We start from the raw sequence: 20,342 nt of genomic DNA on the forward strand, positions 1-20,342 counted from the left end.
TTACGGGCGTGAGCCACTGCGCCCAGCCTGTTTCCATGATTTCGACTTCTCTAGATACATCGTAAAAGTGGGATCATACAGTATTTATCCTTTTGTGACTGACTTATTTTACTCAGCATAATGTCCTCAAGGTTCATCCATGTTGTAGCTCATGAAAGGATTTCCTTCTCTTTTTTAAGGCTGAATAGTATTCCATCGTGTAGATAGGCCGCATTTTTTTTACCCGTTCATTTGCGGAGGGTCATTTGGTTGCTTCCACCCCTTGGCTGTGGTGGACAGTGCAGCTGTCAACACTGGTGTGCAGAAATGTCGTCAAGACCCTGCTTTCAGTTCTTTTGAGCACATACCCACAAATGGGATTGCTGGATCATATGGTAATTCTATGTGGAGGTTTTTGAGGCACCACCGTACTATGTTCCACAGCGGCTGCACCATTTTACCTACCCCCAGCAGTGCACAGGGGTTCCAATTTCTCCGTCCTCATCAACATTTTTTATTTTCTCTATTTTAAAAAAATAGTAGCCAGCCTAATAGGTGTGAGGTGCTAGCTCATTGTCATTTTGATTTGCATTCCTTAATGATTAGTGACATCAAGCATCTCTGTTCTTTTTTTCTGAGACAGGGTATTACTCTGTTGCCCAAGCTGGAGTGCAGTGGCTCGATTTCAGCTCACTGCAGCCTCCGCCTCCTGGGTTCAAGCAATTCTACCGCCTCAGCCTCCTGAGTAGCTGAGACTACAGGCGCCCGCCACCACACCCAGCTAATTGTATTTTTAATAAAGACGGGGTTTTGCCACGTTGGCCAGGCTGGTCTCAAACTCCTGTCCTCAAGCGACCTGCCTGGCTCAGCCTCCCACAGTGCTGGGATTATAGGAGTGAGCCACCACATCCTGCCTTTTTTCTTTTCTTTTCTTTCTTTCTTTCTTTTTTTTTTTTTAAGACAAGGTCTTGCTCTGTCACCCAGGCTGGAGTACAGTGGTGTGATGATGGCTCACTGCAGCCTTGACCTCTTGGGTTCAAGCGAACCTCCCACCCCAGCCTCCCAACTAGCTGGGACTACAAGCACATACCACCATGCCCGGCTAATTTTTGTATTTTTAATAGAGACAGCGTTTTGCCATGTTGCCCAGGCTGGTCTTGAGCTCCTGGGCTCAAGCAATCTGCCATTCTCAGCCTCCCAAGGTGCTGGGATTATAGGCGTGAGCCACAGTGCCTAGCCTTAAATTTACTTTTTAGTTTTTAGAGATGAGGTCTCACTATGTTGCACAGGCTAGACTCGAACTCCTGGACTCAACTGATACTCCTGCTTCAGCCTCCCAAGTAGCTGAGACTATAGGTCTGAGCCACCGTGCCAGGCTCATTAGTCTCTTTTTGATGGAAAAGTATCCTGGAAAAATGAGGTTCTCAAGAAGCACAAGAGGCCCTGGGATGGGAGAGCAGGGAAGGTGGAGGTGGCAGGGAGGAGATGGGGGAGCAGTTTGAGCCTTTCTGTGAAATCTCGTTAAGGCCGTTGGTAGAAATAATTAGGTCTCTGTTCTCCTGAATCTGCTGGGTGAATTGGGCTGTGGGGTGGGGCGGAGGCAGCTGGGGTCTGGTGGAGCAAGGGGTGCCTTGTGGCTCCCTCCACAGCCTTCGGAGCCCCCAGATCCAGGACCCAGCCTGGAGTTTTCGCCCTCATACCCGCAGGCTCAACCCCTCTGATGAGGCCAGCTGGCATCGTGCCCTTTGCCTCAACCCGAGGCTCTAGGCAGACCTGGACTCCATGCCCTTCCTGGGCAGAGCACAGGACCTTCAGGGGAGTGGGGAGTAGAAGGAGGGAATGTGCTCAGGGCCGAGCTTGCTCAGGGCCGAGGCCCCAGGAGGAGACAGGCTCTGGGCTGCCTCTCCTCCAGGGCCTGCCACGTGTGTGTCTTCCTTGAATCTGAGCCTTCCTCCACTGAGGCCTCAGGCCTGCGCCACTACACTGGCCTCCAGAGCAGCTACTCTTGAGGGCTGGATGGCTTGAGAGGGAGGCAGGAAAGGAAGGAAGAGAAGGAAGGTGGGCAATTAGGGGAAGCTATCCCGTGTCCACACCCAGCACACTCCCGGCTTCAAATGCCCCAAAGGTCACATGTAGAAAGCATGAGACACCATTCCATCCTAGGGGCCCAGCTAATACACCTGCAGGGTGAGTGAGATCAAGGTGCTTCACCTCACTGGACCTTGGTGTTTCACCTGCAAAATGGGGCTGACAATTCCTATCTTGAGGGCTGGTGTGAGGACTGCATGAGTTAATGCTTGAAAAGGACCCCGAGCTGTGCCTGGACCTAGAAAGTGCTTGCCTGGGGCATGGTCCCCACAGGGAGTCCTAGAGGGGCCTCGAAGGGGTGACAGACAAGGGGGTGGAGGGACAACTTACAAAGGTGCGGGGCAGGTTAGGAGAGACAAGGCACCACCTGCCCAGCTTGAAGGCTTAGGAGGAAGACAGTTCCCGTTGCAGGGTGGGTGACAGAGCAGGGAGAGAGCTGCTTTTTGAGGACTGACCTGCGGGACTCGGTGGGGGAAGAACACAGCCTTGACCAAGCCTCAGCCTCGGAGGGGAGCGGGCAGGAGTTTCTCACCGCCTCATTTTGCCTCTGACCTCCTGGCTGGGAGCCTCCCTGGCCCAGCTGAGCAGGGAGGTGGGGAGTCCCAAGGGGCTGGGGGCCGGGCAGCATTCAGGCCACCAGAGTCTATGAAAATGGATTTTTGGTTCTGACAAGAAAGGGTCTTCAAGACACAGTGAGAACAAGAAGCAAATTGCAGGAGCACACGCACCATGAGACCCGCGTATATAATGGGAGAAGCCTCCCTGCTGCCTCTGTTTCTGCTGTCAGCATGGACCCTGGAGGGCACACAGCAAGCCTGGGACGGCTGTGACTCCGGAAGGTCAGGAGGGAGAAAGACGCCCACTCCACGCTGTATGTTTTGGTATCATCTAAATCATGCGCAGTTGACACAAATTCATGATTACTTATTTAATTAAAAAGTAGAAAACCCAAGAAAAACACAGGAACAGACTGCTCAAGTGTCCTCCAACTACCCAGAGGCTTTCTGCCAGGCAGCCTTGACACATGGAAAGGCCTGAAAACTTAGATTCTCATCAAAACTTCAGCACCTAACCCCTTCGGAGCCACATTGGGCTACAGGGCCCTCAGATAACAATATTTCCCCTTCTTCCCACATGCCTTTGTGAAGAATGAGAATAAAGAATTTCTGCAGAAACCCCTTGCAATGGCTAAAGTGCTTTGTACACACCAGGGTGCCCCTGAACCTGCCTCAAGGGTAGGAAGGGGCTGCCATTTCTCCATGGCCCTGACACTGCCTGGAACATAGCCTGGCCCGGAGCTGGTGCTCAGCAGATGCCCGAATGAATGCACGACTGAGTCAGTCACGAACCTGAAGGAATGACAGGAACCCAAATAACCCATGATATCGAGCCCAGCGGTGGCGTCTGAGTCGTCACCTGGCCTGATGTGTCTGATCTATCAGCAGCATTCGCAGGGATGTCCTCCCCCTTGACTCACTTTCTTCATTTCCAGGCATAACCCTCCTGCCTTTCCCTCCTCACACAGGCTCCTTCCCCTCCTCCCCCTCTTCCTCCCCTTCTACCTGTCCCCTTCCTTTTTCCCTTCCCCCTCCTCCATTTTCCCTTCCACCTCCTCCCTTCTTCCTCGTCCTCCTCCTTCCCTTCTCTCCATCCTCCTCCCTTTTCCCCTCCCCCTTCCTCCCCCCTCCTCCCCCACCTCCTCTCCCTCCTCCCCTGCCTCCTCCTAGACTCCTTCCTCTCCTCCCTGCCCTCTTGGGTTAGATGCCCGGAACTTGGTCCTTGAACTCCACCCTGCCCCTTTGGCTCCCTGTCTCCTTGATGGTCTCATCCAATCTTACCTGTTGGCTGACAACATCCACATTCACTCTCCCGCCCAGACCTCTCTCCTGAACTCAACAAAGCCGACCTCCTGAGCTTCTCCTCCCCAAACTGTTCTTCCTGAAGGATTCCCCAGTTGGGCTCATGGCAGCTTCGTATTACTCAGGCCAAAAACTTTGCAGTCACCCTTGGCCTCTCTCTTTCTCCTACCGAGTGTCCAATCCATCAGGAAATACTATTGGCTCTGCCTTCAAAATATGGCCAGAATCCACCACCTCTCCCCACCGGCGTTACCACGGCAATCTCATCTGGAAATTTCAATTCCTCACTCTCCTTCCTGTGTCCACCCTCGTTCCCCTGCAGCCTCACATCAACATGGCAACCAGAGAATCCTTTCAAAATGCAGGCCATATCACTGAGTCTCTGCTCAAAATGCTGACCCCTTCAAGGGCTGCCATTCACCCAGGGTAAAACCAAAGACCTGGCAGTGATCTTTACAGCGGTTCTCAAAGTAGGGCCCCCAGACCACCCATACCTGCACCTGGGAGCTTGTTAGAAATGCAGTCTCTCAGGCCCTGGCCTGGACCTACTGAACCAGAGACTCTGGGTGGGGCTGGGGGAGTAGCAAGCTGGGATTCCCAAATCCTCCAGGTGGTCCTGACAGTCCTGGCTCAAGTTTGAGGACTACTGGTCTGTAAGGACCTACCTGATGGGCCCCGCGCCCCTACACCCCAATCAATCACTTCATTCCAGCCACAGAGCCCTCCTTGCCGACCAGCGGACACCAAAACACGCCCTGCCCTCAGCCTGTGTCCTGGCTGTGCTCTCTGTACCTGTATCACCCACTCTCTCACCTCCTTCAAGTCTCAGCTCAGTGTCCCCTTCTCTATTTAAAATTTCAACTCTTGGCCTAGGTGCGGTGGCTCACGCCTGTAATCTCAGCACTTCGGGAGGTTGAGGTGGGCGGATCACCTGAGGTCAGGAGTTTGAGACCAGCCTGGCCAACGTGACCAAATTCCATCTGTACTAAAAATACAAAAATATTAGCCAGGTGCGGTGGCTCACGCTTGTAATCCCAGCACTTTGGGAGGCTGAGGCAGTTGGATCACTTGAGGCCAGGAGTTTGAGACCAGCCTGGCAAACATGATGAAACCCTGTCTCTACTAAAAATACAATAGTGTAGCTGGGCATGGTGGCAGGTGCCTGTAGTCCCAGCTACTCAGGAGGCTGAGGCAGGAGAATCACTTGAACCTGGGAGGTTGCAGTGAGCCAAGATAGCGCCACTGCATTCCAGCCTGGGTGACAGAGTGAGACTCTGTGTCAAAAAAAAATAAAATAAAATTTCAACTCCCTTTGTCACTATTTATTATCTTCTTCTATTTCATGTAATTTTCTTATGATGTTATTGCTTAGAGGCTAACTTCTCCCACTAGAATGTCAACTCCATTTGGACAGGAATCTTTGCCCCTTTTGTTCACTGAGGCATCCTGAGTGCCGATAAATCTGCCTGACTCTGGCTGGGGAAGCACAGAATAAGTCTTTGTTGAATGAATGAATGAAAAATCCACATAACCCCAAACAGCAATAACTACTATTTCTTTTTTTTTTAATTATACTTTAAGTTTTAGGGTACATGTGCACAACGTGCAGGTTAGTTACATATGTATACATGTGCCATGTTTGTGTGCTGCACCCATTAACTCGTCATTTAACATTAGGTATATCTCCTAATGCTGTCCCTCCCCCTCCCCCCACCCCACAACAGTCCCCGGTGTGTGATGTTCCCCTTCCCGTGTCCAAGTGTTTTCATTGTTCAATTCCCACCAACCACTAGTTCTTGAGCATGTTTTATTCTGACTTCTTTTCAAACATTAGCTCTAATTCTCTCAGAATTTCTACAAACTCAAGGCACCATCTCCATTTTTTCTCTTAAAAATAATTGCTTTTGCTTTTTATCTTTTTAATTAATGTATTTTTTACTGTTAGAGTACTTGATTTTATTTGGTGTAAGTTTGGTTATTTGACTTTTTTTGATACATGATAATTGTACGTTATTTGGGGCTGCATGTGATATCTTTTGATATATGCATACAATGTGTAATGATCAAATCAGGGCAATGAGCATATCTAGTGCCTTGAACATTTGTCATTTCTTTGTGTTGGGAACGTTTCAAATCTTCTCTTTTAGCTATTTTAAAATATACAATAAATTATTGTTAACCAAAGTCACCATACTCTGCTATCAAACACTAGAGCTTATTCCTTCTATCTAACTACATGTTTGTACCCATGAACCAACCTTTCTTTCTGTTTTTTTTTTGTTTGTTTGTTTTTTGTTTTCTTTTGAGACGGAGTCTCGCTCTGTTGTCCAGGCTGGAGTGCAGTGGTGTGATCTTGGCTCACTGCAACCTCTGCCTCCTGGGTTCAAGCGATTCTCCTGTCTCAGCCTCCGAAGTAGCTGGGATTACAGGTGTCCACCACCACGTCTGGCTAATTTTTTGTATTTTTAGTAGATACAAGGTTTCACCATGTTGGCCAGGCTGGTTTTGAATTCCTGGCCTCAAGTGATCTGCCCGCCTCGGCCTCCCAAACTGCTGGGATTACAGGCGTGAGCCACCGTGCCCGGCTGTTGTTTGTCTGTTGTTTGTTTTGAGACAGAGTCTTGCTCTGTTGCCCAGGCTGGAGTGCAGTGGCATGATCTCAGCTCACTGCAACCTCCGCCTCCCAGGTTCAAGGAATTCTCCTGCCTCAGCCTCCTGAATAGCTGGGATTACAGGTGCCTGCCACCATGCCAGGCTAATTTTTGCATTTTTATAGAGATAGGGTTTCATCATGTTGGCCAGGCTGGTCTCAAGCTCCTGACCTCGTGATCTGCTTCCCTCAGCCTCCCAAAGTGCTGGGATTACAGGCGTGAGCCACCGCGCCCGGCCCATTAACCTTTCCACACCCACCCCTCCACCCTTACCATCTCCATTTTATGGACAGAGAACTGAATTCAGAGAGGATAAGCAGTTTGTCAAAACTGGGCAAAAAGAGTTTGCCCAGATAAAGGAGCTGGTGTTTGGTGTTTCTACCAGTCCTCTCAAAAGGTCACTGAATCCCACTAGCAGGAGGTGACACACAGCCTCACGCTACTGCAGTGTGGACACAGCCACCGTTGGAGAAACATGCAGTACAAGGTAACCCGGGGCCTAGTGGCCTGGGACCAATCCATCCTGGAAAAAGGCACAAAGAAAGCTCCAGAATTTCTCATTCCCCCAGTGCTGGGCAGGGAATGCTTGGCTCCTGGGAGTCTGCTGTGGTGAGGAGGGGGCTGGGGAGCAGGGTGGGCTGATGTGGCGGCTGGGCCACCATCCAGCTTCCTCTAGATTCTCATGCACATTTAGAGAATGTGCCCCTTCACCCAGTCTCTCAGCAACCGCCTTCTGCAGCAGGCGGGAAACGATCCATTAATGATACGTTAGGAAACCCTTACTGAAAATAATTACACCCTCCTCGGAGCGAGACGTGTCAAAACACGCTGGGAGGATTCGTCAGCGCAGGCAGAGCCCAGGGGCCGCCCCCTCCTTCCACCCACTCCTCTCTCAGCCTGGCATTTCTTCCATGCACAGACCTTTTCTCTCCCCTTCATGAGGTGGGAAAAGTGGGGGGCACCCACAAAATCCACACTCCATGTTTTTTTCTAAACCACACTACTCAGCTAGCACAAGGCTCAGGGGATGAACAACACGTTTTCAGAACAAAACTCTATATGCGCTGGGGAGAAGGACTGAAGCCAGGGCTGCCCTAGGCAATCAGGGATGGCTGTCATGGGGGCTACAGGACCGAGACATGATTCCTGCAGTGGAGTTTGCAGAACCTTCCTGGGCTTGGGGCTCAGGCTGACCCGGGCTTCAACCCTATGTGACCTTGAGTCAGTCTTTTTGTTTCTCTGTGCCTCAGTTTCCTCATATGTAAAACGGCCATAACAAATTTGTAGGGTTGTGACCTTTAATCAACGGGCCTCACTCTGTAGCACGGAACCTGGCACATCCTAGGTGATTAACATAGGTGCCTAACACTCTCACAGGACAAATGTCACTTCATAGTGAAAACTGAAATACATAGCACCACTTACTAAGTAGTGACGAAGTTTGGAGGAGGAGAGAGATCCCAGCAGGCTGGGTAATTAGGAAGAGATGCGTTTTAGAGAATGGGGAGGAATTGCAACGTCAGTGGGACAGTGAAGGTCTTCCAGGCGAGGAGACAGTGACGAGGGGTCTGGAGCGACAAACACTTAGCGACATCTAAGAGTATCTCCTTGGTTTACTTGCTGTCTCCTTCACCAGAGCGCAGGCTCCACGCGGACTGAGTCTGTCTGTCTGGTTCTCTATAGCAGATGCTTAGATAATTGTTGAATGGATACAGGAATAAAATGAGATGTGCCAGGGAGGACGGGTGATGCAGGATCCCAGGCCCCAAGCTGGGGAGCTGACTTTGGAGGCAGTAGGAGAATGGGAAGCATTTTGGTTACAATGTGCATGTGTACAAGAAACGCTTCTCTATACTGCGGGAGGTCTGGAAGGATTCACTCTCAACTATTAAGAGGAGTAAGCTCTGGAGAGTGGGAGGGGAGTGGAGGTTTTTCAACATTTACTGTATATACGTCCCTACTGTTCGGATTTTTAAAATAACAAGTGTGTTTTGTAACTTTTTTTTAAGTTTAATTTTAAGAAAATTGGGAAGCGCAGGAGCAGGGGAGGGGGGTGAATTGGTCTGTGAGGAGTGTCAGCCCGTGGCTGCTTGACGGTCTTGCATTGCTCCTCCCACTTCCGCAGTAATGGGGAGACCTGGGGGGCGCTGGGGGACATCACGATCTGAGTGAGGGGTTGCTGGTGTCTCTCCTCCCAACTACCACTGCCAATTGAACAGTCCAGGTCCAGGAGGACTCGTGTGGCTCCCAAAAATGGCTGGTGGCCCTGAGGGGAGAGAATGGCTGCTGTCCCTCTCCCTGCCCCACCTGGGTCCCCTGCAGCAGGACTCTCTGCCCATTGAGGGAGAACCACCCATCCATCAACTGGTTTGGGACCCTGGTTGAGACTGCAGAGGACCCAGGAGCCTCTGAGATTACCACCCCTCAAGGCTACACAGACACACACACACATACACACACACACACACACACACACAGACACACACACACAGATACATCCCTTTCCTTTTAAGTGAGGCTGGTTTCCAGCCTTCTGAGACCATGACAAAATGGTGGGCCAAGGGCATTGTCAGAAGCAGGGCCAAGGCCAGAAGGCAGCGGGGCAGTTTCAGGGTGAGTGGGCTTTGCCTGGCAGAGAGGGAAGGGGGCAGAGCCGAGGCCTAGGCCTGGCACAGTGGTGGGTTTCAGCAGGAGGCTCAGGCCTCGTGGGGAAGGAGGGCTGGAGGGAGCCATCTCAGAGGCTTCAGCCTTAGGGCCCTGGGGTGGAAACAGGGGCGCCGGTGGTCTCTGCACTTCAGAAAGACCAACCTAGAAGGGCCACAGAGGGAGACAGGCAGTGGTTCCCACTGAGCACTGGGCGGGTGGGGTGGTTCTGAGGGAAGCTGTCCTGTCAAAGAGGCCAGAGGCAGCTGAAAAAGATGAAGGGCTCAAGGATGAGCCAATCTATGCATAACCCAGAGCACACTCCGGTCCCCACCCTCACCCCCAGACGCCAACAGTCACCTTCAGTTGAGAGCTTTTGCTGGATCTCTCAAGATCATCCCTTTTATTTTCTAACTTTTCTTTATATGTTTGCTGAAAAAATATTAAAACAACACAAAAGATCTAAAGGAGAAGTGAATGTTGGCCGGGCGCAATGGCTCGCGTCTGTAATCCCAGCACTTTGGGAGGCCAAGGCAGGAGGATTCCTTGAGCCCCAGACTTTGAGACCAGGCTGGCAACATGGCAATACCTCGTCTCTATAAAAGATTTAAAAAATTAGCCAGGCTTTGATTCCAGCTACTCAGGAGGCTGAGGTGGGGGGATGGCTTGAGCCAGGGAGACTGAGGCTACAGTGAACTGTGATCTAGCCACTGCATTCCAGCCTGGGTGATGGAACAAGACCCTTTCTCAAAAAAAAAAAAAAAAGGGGGGGAGGTGCTGCATTTCCAGCACTTAGAATAGCATTTGTTCATACTAGTTTCTCAATAAATATTCACAGAATACTTGAAAGAAAAATAAATGAATGTCTACCCCATCCCTAGCCACCTCCTTCTAGTTCCACTCTCTGCATTTGACAGTCTCTCCCTCTCTCTGTGTGTGTTTATTCTCTCTTATTATCAACATTGATTTGTTTTGTTTCCGCAAACTTGAGGTCATCTTCTACATGTTCCTCCATGACTTGCTTCTTCTCTTAAAGATACACTATCATAAAAGTTATTTCTAAGTCATGCCATGCCTGGGATTCATAGTAGAGGCGCCAGAATTTATTGGAGCAACCTGTTCTTGGTGGGCATTCAGCTGCCTCTAATATTTTGCTAATTCATTGTTCTTGGTGGGCATTCAGCTGCCTCTAATATTTTGCTAATTCATGGTTCCTGGTGGGCATTCAGCTGCCTCTAATATTTTGCTAATTCATTGTTCTTGGTGGGCATTCAGCTGCCTCTAATATTTTGCTAATTCATTGTTCTTGGTGGGCATTCAGCTGCCTCTAATATTTTGCTAATTCATTGTTCTTGGTGGGCATTCAGCTGCCTCTAATATTTTGCTAATTCATGGTTCCTGGTGGGCATTCAGCTGCCTCTAATATTTTGCTAATTCAGACAAAGGTGCATGGACATCTGTCCAAACTATTTTCATGAGCCTGTGCAGGGGCTTTTATGAGGCTGGGCGCAGTAGCTCACGCCTGTAATCCCAGCACTTTGAGAGGCCGAGGCAGGCGGGTCACGAGGTCAGAAGATCAAGACCGGCCTGGCCAACATGGTGAAACCCCATCTCTACTAAAAATACAAAAATTAGCCGGGCGTGGTGGTGGGCGCCTGTGGTCCCAGCTACTCGGGAGGCTGAGGCAGGAGAATTGCTTGAACCCCGGAGGCGGAGGTTGCAGTGAGCCAAGATTGCGCCACTGCACTCCAGCCTGGGCGACAGAGCGAGACTTTGTCTCAAAAATAAAAAAGAAAGTGCTTTTATGCAATGTTTTCTTAGACATAGAATTGCTGGGTTGAAAGCAATATGTACTTATATGTTGAACAGCTGTTGCTGAATTAACCCCAAAAAGGCTGCATCCATTTTCATTCAAACCGACAGTAAATGAGCTATTCAGCCACATCCTTCCCAGCACTGCATATTATCAATATTTTATTTTTTTCCAGTCTGGTAGAGAAAAAAAATCTCATTATTGTCTATTTGCACTGAAGCAAATAAGCCTCTTTTTATAAGTTTATGAACCATTTTATTTTCTTCTGGGAATTTCTTCTCCCCATCTTTTGCTTATTTTTCTATTGTGTTACCTTTTTCTTATGTGCGATTCAGGATACTAACACTTTATATTTTACATATATTGCAAATTATTTATTTTCTCATGGTGTGTCAGCTTTGAACTTTGTAAATGATGCCTATTCACCCCTTTCCTTTTCCAAGTAGCCAAAGGATTTCCTTTTGTTTTCTGGCTGTTCCTCACCTCCCTGAATCCCAGGGTAAACATGATGGAGACTCAGACCCTCAGACCTTGTTGGTATAAGAGCCAAGCTTGGAGGGGCTTAACCAGGAGGGGCATTATGTCAGGCAGGGACCCCGGGCCAGGTGGACCCCAGCCTCTTAGCCTCCCCCAGGGCTGCAGCCACATTCCCTGGCCCACTAGTTTGATCCAGGCCCCAAACTTCCCCAGGAAAGGAGGTGAGCGGGAGCTGCGGGTGATTTGCTCCTACCAGATGCTATCCTGCTGGCCTCCAGGGGAGAGGTGAGGGCAGACCCAGCCAGCAGGGCCTTCTCTGCAGCACCGCCTCCAAGGCACCCAGATAGGGGAGATATGCTGATAGACTTTTCCTGAAGAAGGGGTCTCTGGCTCCAGTGGGGAGACTGCCTGACTGACTGCATTACAAGTCCAGGGGAGACGCCAGCCTTATCACTCAGGCCTCTGGAGGACGCCTCTGGAAAATGCGCCAGTGGAGGGGCGGCCTCTGGAGCACAGCCTCACCACCGCCCGACCAGCCCTGCTCAGCAGCCATGAGCATAGCTGCCCTTTGTTAAGCATGTGGGTTGTTCTCTATTGTAAGAGCATTATATGCTACATACAAAAACTGCAGCCATCGCAGAAGCAAGCCCTATGTGTGCGGGCTGCCTGGACCCTGTTCCAGACCTGGGGTCTGTACTGGAGCTGATCAGACCCCTTCTTTTTTTTTTTTTTTTTTTTGAGACAGAGTCTTGCTTTGTGGCCCAGGCTGGAGTGCAGTGGCGCGATCTTGGCTCACTGCAAGCTCCGCCTCCCGCGTTCACGCCATTCTCCTGCCTCAGCCTCCCGAGTAGCTGGGACTACAGGCGCCCGCCACCACGCCCAGCTAATTTTTTTTTTGTATTTTTAGTAGAGACGGGTTTCACTGTGTTAGCCAGGATGGTGTCCACCTCCTGACCTGGTGATCCGCTCGCCTAGGCCTCCCAAAGTGCTGGGATTGCAGGCGTGAGCCACCGCGCCCAGCCAATCAGACCCCTTCTACCACTTCTCATTTTCTCCCGCGTTCCCAAAAATGCATCCATATCATCCCGACTTTCAAGGCGCAGCAATACTTTACTTTTTTTTTTTGAAACAGAGTCTTGCCCTGTCGCCCAGGCTGGAGTGCAGTGGTGTGATCTCGACTCACTGCAACCTCTGCCTCCCGGATTTGCACGATTCTTCTCCCTCAGCCTCCTGAGTAGCTGGGATTACAGGCGCACTACCACGCCCAGTTAATTTTGTATTTTTCGTAGAGATGGGGTTTCACGATGTTGGCTAGGCTGGTCTCAAACTCCTGACCTCAGGTGGTCCACCCACCTCAGCCTCCCAAAGTGCTGGGATTACAGGTGTGAACCACCGGCCTGGCCTGTATACAATACTTCCTAGAGATGTAAAAGTCTCACTCTTACCTGTGACTGTGCTCCCTTTCTTGGCCCTATTATTGTGGGGTTTTTGTTTTTTCTTCTCAAAAACTTTTCTTTTTCTTTTTTTTTTTTTTTGTGATGGAGTCTCACTCTGTTGCCCAGGCTGGAGTGAAGTGGTACAATCTTGGCTCACTGCAACCTCCACCTCCCTGGTTCAAGCAATTCCCCTGCCTCAGCCTCCCGAGTAGCTGGGATTACAGGCGCATGCCACCATGCCTGGCTAATTTTTTTTGTATTTTTAGTAGAGACGGGGTTTCACCATGTTGGCCAGACTGGTCTCAAACTCCTGACCTCGTGATCTGCCCGCCTCACCCTCCCAAAATGTTGGGATTACAGGCCTGAGCCGCCATGCCTGGCCTCGAAAACTTTTCTTATCATGAAATAGGCATCAACTAAAGTGCATTCAAGACAAATGTGCAGTGGAATAAATGATTTAAAAGGAAATGCCTGCAGCCACGCAGATCATGGGAATATTTCCAGCATCCCAGAAGCCATCCTCGTCCTGGGGGGCCCCCTCCTAGTAGTCCCAAGCTTCTCCTCCTCCTTCCCCCTAATAAGTAGCCACCGTTCTGATTTGATGACAATCACTTCTTGCTGGACTTCACATGTTTTTCCACTATGGTTTGACTTTGCCGGTGTGTCTCTCTATTTTTCACCCTGGGTCAATTTCCTGGAGTTTTCAAGGCTGGACTATTGGGTGCGTGATCCAGGCCACCCGTTCCCTCTGTGCCCCACTCCTCCTCCCAGGCGCCCAGCCCACAGCCCACAGCCCACACTTCACCCTATAGAGAGTCAGGCTGGGGAGGCCGCAGGCTGGCCGTTCACAGAGGGGAATTCCTTCTCCACCCCTCGCTGCTGCACAGCCTCGGGGAAGGTTATTCAGTGCTTTAGGCTCCAGTGTCTCCTCTATGAAGTGAGCTCTCGGGAAGGCTGAATGTTGTAATGCTTGGAGAGGGTCTGACTTTCCTTCTCGAACCTTCCCACCTCCCTGCTTGGCTATTTCTATTCCTGGCACCTGGCATGCTTTTTCCTTCCCTTTGCACAGATTCTTGGATTTCTCCATCACAGCCCAATCCAAATGCATTTATGACCCTCTGCCCGATGACTTACTCTTCCAGATTTATTTCTCATGCTGCATCCCTACATTCTAAAAGGCTAACAAAAGCCTCTGCTATTCATTGGGCCTGCAGGCTCTTTCGAAGTATTATCCACCATCAACTAGAAGTGGATTATAGCTCTGTTTTATAGATGAGCAAATTGAGGCTTGCAGAGGGTAAGTGATTTTGCCCAAGGTCACAGAGTTGGTGAAGGACAAAACTGGGAATCCAACTCTGTCTCTCCAGTTGGGGCCATGTTAGCCCATGTGACACCTTTCTTCACCCAGTTCACAGTGGCTGTGGCCATTTCCAAGGCAGCTGCCTCACGCTTCTGACCGAGGAACTACACAGAAGTGGCAAAGAGCACCAGAGCCAGAGAGCCCAGGCCTCAGCCCCAGCACAACCACTTTCTGCCCGCTACCTTCAGCTTCCTCCTCTGTAAACGTGGGATGAAAGATAGCACTTACCGCCTCTGCAAACCTGCTGGCGAAGAGACCGCTTCCCCCATCGCGTTGTTATCAGCATTAAATGAGTTTATACACGCTCATTCCTGTGCCTGCTATGCTCCACAGATGTTACTTGTTACGCACATTCCTCACTCGGGGCTCCCAGAGGCTCAGCTTTCGTGCGGGGAAACTCCAGCCTCAGCCTCAGGTCTAGCCACATGGTTGAGGCCCCTCCACAAGCCTCCCAGAAGCCACGCTGTGTGTCTCCCACTCACCCACAAACCATCTCTTTGTGGAGCCTTGAAGCTGGGGGTTGGGGGAACCTTGCCCTTACACTGATGATGAAGGATCCCGAGGGCTCTGGGAGCCTCCAGTGGGTCCCAGCTCTGTGGCAGGAGGTTGGGCCACCGGGCAACGTCCATGAGTGCACATCACCCTGGGTCCCAACCCTTCCCTAGGCCTGGGCCTGTCCCGAAGTGGGTGCATCCATCTGACCCGGGAGCACTGGGGGTGCTGGAGGTGAGAGAAGGCACATGCAGGAGCTGACCTTAGTTGGGTGCCCTGAGTATGCTGGACCACATGAGAGGTGCTTCACAAATATTCTGTATTTTTCACTACCCTGTGAGATAGGTGACGTCAATTCCCATCTTATACTTGTGAAAAAGAAGCTCAGAGAGATTAAGCAATACACTCAAGGTCACATAGTTTTGGAATTCATACCAGGTCTGTCTGGCCCCAGAATCCAGGTTTTCCTTCCACAACAAACTTACTGCCCTAAGGTGGACAGTCCTCTGGTGTTAGCTGCGGGCAGTCCTGAGGGAATGATAAAGGTGAGACCCTCAACTCTCCCAAATAAGGGCCCCATCTCTGCTTCACAGAAATAGACATTTCAGAGACTTAAGAGAGGGGGATTGTGTTGAGTCTCTAGATAGATTTGGGAAGTATTGCCATCTTAACAAGACCAATTCGTGAATATGGGATTCATGAACATGGGATTCATGAACATGGGATGTCTTTCTATTTGTTGTAATTTTTAAAAATTTCCTTCAACAAGGTTTTATAGTTTTTAGAGTATAAAAAGATCTACTTTTTTTTTTTTTTTTTTTGAGAGAGGGTCTCACTTCCATCACCTAGCCTGGAGTGCAGTGGTGAGATTATGGCTCCCAGCAGCCTTGACCTCCCAGGTTTAGGTGATCCTCCCACCTCAGCCTCCCAAGTAGCTGAGAGCATAGCCTGGCTATTTTTTATTTTTTGTAGAGATGGGGTCTTGCCACGTTGCCCAGGCTGGTCTTGAACCCCTGGGCTCAGGTGATCTGCCTGCCTCACGCTCTCAAATGCTACATTTCTTTTGTTAAAGTTATTCCTAAGTATTTTATTCTTTTTTATGCTATTATGAATAGAATTGTTCTTTAAATTTCATTTTAGGTTCCTCATTTCTAGTGTATAAAGTCAGTTTCTGTGTATTGATTTTATATCCTGAAAATTTTGCTGAACTTATTAGTTCTAATTGTCTCTTAATGGATTCTTCAGGATTTTCTATACTTAAGATCTTGTCATCTGCAAACAGAGATCGTTTTACATCTTCCTTTTTATTTTATTTATTTATTTATTTATTTTTTGAGACAGAGTTTCGCTCTTGTTGCCCAGGCTGGAGTGCAATGGCACAATCTCGGCTCACCACAACCTCTGCCTCCTGGGTTCAAGCAATTCTCCTGCCTCAGCCTCCTGAGTAGCTGGGACTATAGGCGCCAGCCACCATGCCCGGCTAATTTTTGTAGTTTTAGTAGAGACGGGGTTTCTCCATGTTGGTCAGGCTGGTCTCGAACTCCCAACCTCAGGTGATCTGCCCACCTTGGCCTCCCAAAGTGGTGGGATTACAGGCGTGAGCCACCGCGCCCAGACTTACTTATTCCTTTTTAATCTGGAGGCCTTTTACTTCTTTTCTTGCCTGATCACCCTGGCTGGAACCTCCAGCACCGCGCTGAGCAGAAGTTGTGATGGGGACACCCTGCCTTGTTCCTGCTCTTAAGGGAGAAGCATCCAGTCTTGCACCACTAAGTACCGTGTTAGTGATGTGTTTTCATAGAAATCTTTTATGGGATTGAGGAAGTTCCCGTCTGTTCATAGTTTCTTGAGTGGTTTTATCACAAAAGGTTTTAAGCTATCATCATCTCATAAGAATATTTAAGAGATGGCAGGAGGGCACACGGCCCCTCCCCTGCTCAGGCTTGTCTGATCCCTGCACGAGGCACTCAGTGCTACCCCCACACCCCTTGCCTCCTCCCCAGAGGTGACCTGTCTTGTCTTCCGATTCCCATTCAAGTCTCAGAAGGGGAGAGCTTTGTCTCCGTGAATGTATACCCTCCCACACCAAAAATAAAAATAAAAACCCATCACAGCCCTGAGGCTGTTGGGACTGGGTCAGGGCCCAGTCCCCTGGCCTGTGAGTGGACACAGCCTGGAAGGGGGCAGGGTGGGGGAAGACTGAGGAGGGCTGAGAGGGGAGTCAACAATGGAGGGAGGGAAAGCTGTCAGCTCATAGCCCTCAGATACACGGGGTCTGAGGAGGGAAAAGGGGCTGGCAGGGCCAAGCTGGGGTGGCTGTGGGTCTCCTGTCACCAGCTCAGAACGTGCTGATGGGCTGGGCCTACGCCTGCCCAGACAGGGAGCCGTGGGGGAACAGAGAAGGGACTGTCCCCCTGCTGTTGTCACTCCCAGCACTTCGGCCAGCTCTCTCACCCTGCCCACCTCTAGGCACCCCTTCCAGGCACAGCACCCCTTCTTACCTCTGCCCATTCCTTCTCCCTGTCTCCTAGTTCCTCCTCAGGAGGCACCTGCACCCGGAGAGCCCTCTCTCCCACCAGGCCACCCCTGGCCCCTCAGCACTCTTGGCAGCATTGTCACAGCTGGCTGTGGCACACAGTGGATGCTCCTCCCCTGGGTTTACAGGCAGAGGTGAGAGGTGTGTGTGTGTGTGTGTGTGTGTGTGTGTCTGTGTGTGTGTTCAGGGAGGAGAGGGATAAAAGATAAGCGAGAGGGGCTGGTGGAGCAGGAGAGACCTCAGGGTCAACGGCTGGGGGACTCGGGGGAGCCCTCTCCAGCGCTGGAAGCCCATTCTCCCACATCCAGGGTGTGTGTGTGTGGAGGGGGGCATTCTTTTAAGGTGACTCATGCACCCTGCCTGCTCAGCTCTGCACGCCTGGGCTCCCGGGCTCTAATGAAGGTAATGAGGCCAACGAGGTATTTATGGCGCGTCCTCCTGGGGGAGCCTCGTGGCCTCCCAGCCATGACCTCAGTGCTCATGGGGACGGCCCCAGGCGTCCCAGGTCGGTGTCAAACTTGCAGGAGGAGGAAACTGAGGCGCAGGAGGAGGAAACTGAGGCCCAGGAGGGAGAGGGTCCACCCACAGATGCCGCCCTGTGGGCAGAGGATCTCAAGAAGCAGGAGGCCCCCTGCTCCCTCCACCAAACCTGTGGAAATCAGGGCTGTTAGCACAAAAAGGCCCAGTTAGGCCGGCTCCTTTCTTTTTCTTTTCTTTTTTTTTTTTTTGAGACAGAGTCTCGCTCTGTCACCAGGCTGGAGTGCAGTTGCATGATCTCACTCACTGCAACCTCTGCCTCCCAGGTTCAAGCGATTCTCCTGCCTCAGGCTCCCAAGTAGCTGGGACTAGAGGTGTGTGCCACCACGCCCAGCCAATTTTTGTATTTTTAGTAGAGACGGGGTTTCAGCACGTTGGCCAGGATAGTCTCGATCTCTTGACCTCGTGATCCGCCTGCCTCGGTCTCCCAGAGTCCTGGGATTACAGGCGTGAGCCACCGCCCCTGGCCTGGCCGGCTCCTTTCTAAGGTGGATCCGGGTGCAGGGTCCACCCTGCCTCCATGGTCCCCGCCTGCACCACCCCAACTCCTACTCATGGGGGTCACGATGCTGCCCTCCCAGGGGATTCCCCTGCTGCAGACCTGCCCCACCTGGCCAGGCACTATTGGGGAAACCAAGGCAGGGGCTTTGCCCCCACTCTGGGGAGTCTGAGGAGTGGCATGAACCCAGGAAGACACAGGAGAAGGAAGGGACAGGCGGGCCTGCAGGAGCAGCCGAGCTGAGCTCCTGATGCCTAAGGGGCCTGGGTCTGGGCCTGAGTCTGCGCCTTTCCAGGAGGGGCTGGGCTTCGTGCAACCGTGAACTCCTAGGGCCCCTTCAGCAGGCCTTGGCTGGCCCAGAGGCCCTGAGGCAGTTCTGCCAGTCCTTACGAAGCAATGGCCCTGCTCAGGGTGAGGGAAGAGAGGCCCAGGCAGCCTCGCTTCATTTCCAAGGCCGCCATCTTCATTTCCAGGGCCGCCATGTCCCCAGCTCTGGGGTGGCTTTGCCCTTGGAGGCTGGTAACCCCAGGAAACCTCTGCATCTCCCTAGCTGTGGTCAGCAGGCCCCTTCTCCGGCAGACCCTGCCCCTCGCACCCTACAAGGATAAGCAGGGTTCCCTGGTGGCAAAGCCTTGGGCCAGGCCTCTATCCCTGGCCTGGGGGTGCCCTGGCCTCGCTTATTCTCATCCCCGACCTGAGCTCAGCCTGCATGGCTGAGGGACAGAGGCCACTGTACCCTGGGCCTGGGGTTAACGGTGTCATCTGCTAAGCCTCCACTACCGAGAGCGCCACCAAGTCCTCTCCACGCATGTTCACATCTAACCTCCACAGCAGCAGCCTGAGGAGGATTCTATTAAACCGCGCCGAAACAGAGTGAGGTCTAGAGAGGGCGTGTCCTCGTCCTGGGAAAGGACAGAGCAGGGACTTGAAGTGTCCCGGGAACTGATCCTCAGCCCGGGGATTGCTGTGCCCCAGGATCTGCCGGCTCCTCCGACACCTCAGACCCCCGCAGCCAGGCGTGAGCAGGGGGCCGCCAGCTGGGGCGTTCGGGGCAGGCCTTCTGCAGAGGGCTGTCTGGTTCATCTCCTCACCGCCCAGGACATGGCTGGGGAACCGCTCAGGCCACGGCAGGGGTGGGAGGGACTCCTGCCCGCCAAGGGACTGGAGTTCTGGGTGCAGGTTGGGGAACCAGTCTCTAGGGTAGGGTCCTCAGGCGGGGCCGCCCCAGAGCGCCCTTGGCATTGGGCACACACCTGCAAGGGGCCCCTCCAGGCCTGGGCTCTGGGGCACCAGTGTCCCAGGCCTGGCGGTGCCATCCTGAAGGGAAGCAGAGGCGGGAGAACAGCGGGTAAATGAGCTGGGAGCCCGGGGTTATGGGGGGCACAGCTCTGCCATCCAGCCCTGGCCCACCCGACAGGCTGAATGACCTTCCACAGTCTTTGTCCTCTCTGGCTGCAGGCCACAGCTGTGAAGTGCAACTTTCCCTCAAGGACACCCAGCCAGGGAACCCCCCTCCCACCTGGAGTCCCCCTGGTCCTATGACATAAGCCCTATCTTGGCTGCAAGTGTGTGCAAGCATGTGAGTACGAGTGAGTGAGTCAGTGTGTGTAAGCAAGTGTGTGCGTGTGAATGTGAGTGAATGTGTGTGATGTGTGGTGATGAGAGTGAATGTGACTGAGCATGTGTGATGTGTCTGGTGTGTGGTGAGTGTGAGTGAATGTGACTGAATTAGCATGTGTGATATGTGGTGAGTGTGAGTGAACGAGCATGTGTGATGTGTGTGGTGTGTGTGGTATGTGAGTGTGAGTGAATGAGAGTGTGTGATGTGGCGTGCGTGTGTGAATGAGCATGTGTGTGGTGTGTACAAGTGTGAATGTGAGTGAATGTGTGTGTGTACTGTGTGTGTGTGATGTGTGGTGTGTGTGTATGAGTGAATGAGCGTGTGTGTGGTGTGTACGAGTGTGAATGTGAA

The 20,342-nt window shown here is 51.7% G+C and overlaps 4 annotated features.

Annotated features, from left to right (window-relative positions):
- Positions 510–699: a silencer, noted in NCBI's record as "fragment chr18:46526490-46526679 (GRCh37/hg19 assembly coordinates)". NCBI's record gives its function as "represses an EF-1alpha promoter that drives an FKBP-Casp9 reporter gene in an ReSE screen in HepG2 liver carcinoma cells {active_cell/tissue: HepG2}" and the evidence as "EXISTENCE:reporter gene assay evidence [ECO:0000049][PMID:32094911]".
- Positions 1,292–2,202: an enhancer, noted in NCBI's record as "H3K4me1 hESC enhancer chr18:46527272-46528182 (GRCh37/hg19 assembly coordinates)". NCBI's record gives its function as "activates a minimal SCP1, AML or CMV promoter by ChIP-STARR-seq in primed H9 embryonic stem cells {active_cell/tissue: H9 hESC(primed)}" and the evidence as "EXISTENCE:reporter gene assay evidence [ECO:0000049][PMID:30033119]".
- Positions 8,594–9,094: an enhancer, noted in NCBI's record as "H3K4me1 hESC enhancer chr18:46534574-46535074 (GRCh37/hg19 assembly coordinates)". NCBI's record gives its function as "activates a minimal SCP1, AML or CMV promoter by ChIP-STARR-seq in primed H9 embryonic stem cells {active_cell/tissue: H9 hESC(primed)}" and the evidence as "EXISTENCE:reporter gene assay evidence [ECO:0000049][PMID:30033119]".
- Positions 17,635–17,684: a silencer, noted in NCBI's record as "silent region_9445". NCBI's record gives its function as "represses an Ori minimal core promoter by ATAC-STARR-seq in GM12878 lymphoblastoid cells {active_cell/tissue: GM12878}" and the evidence as "EXISTENCE:reporter gene assay evidence [ECO:0000049][PMID:35858748]".

Source organism: Homo sapiens, chromosome 18 (genome assembly GCF_000001405.40).
Source record: "Homo sapiens chromosome 18, GRCh38.p14 Primary Assembly".
NCBI lineage: Eukaryota > Metazoa > Chordata > Mammalia > Primates > Hominidae > Homo > Homo sapiens.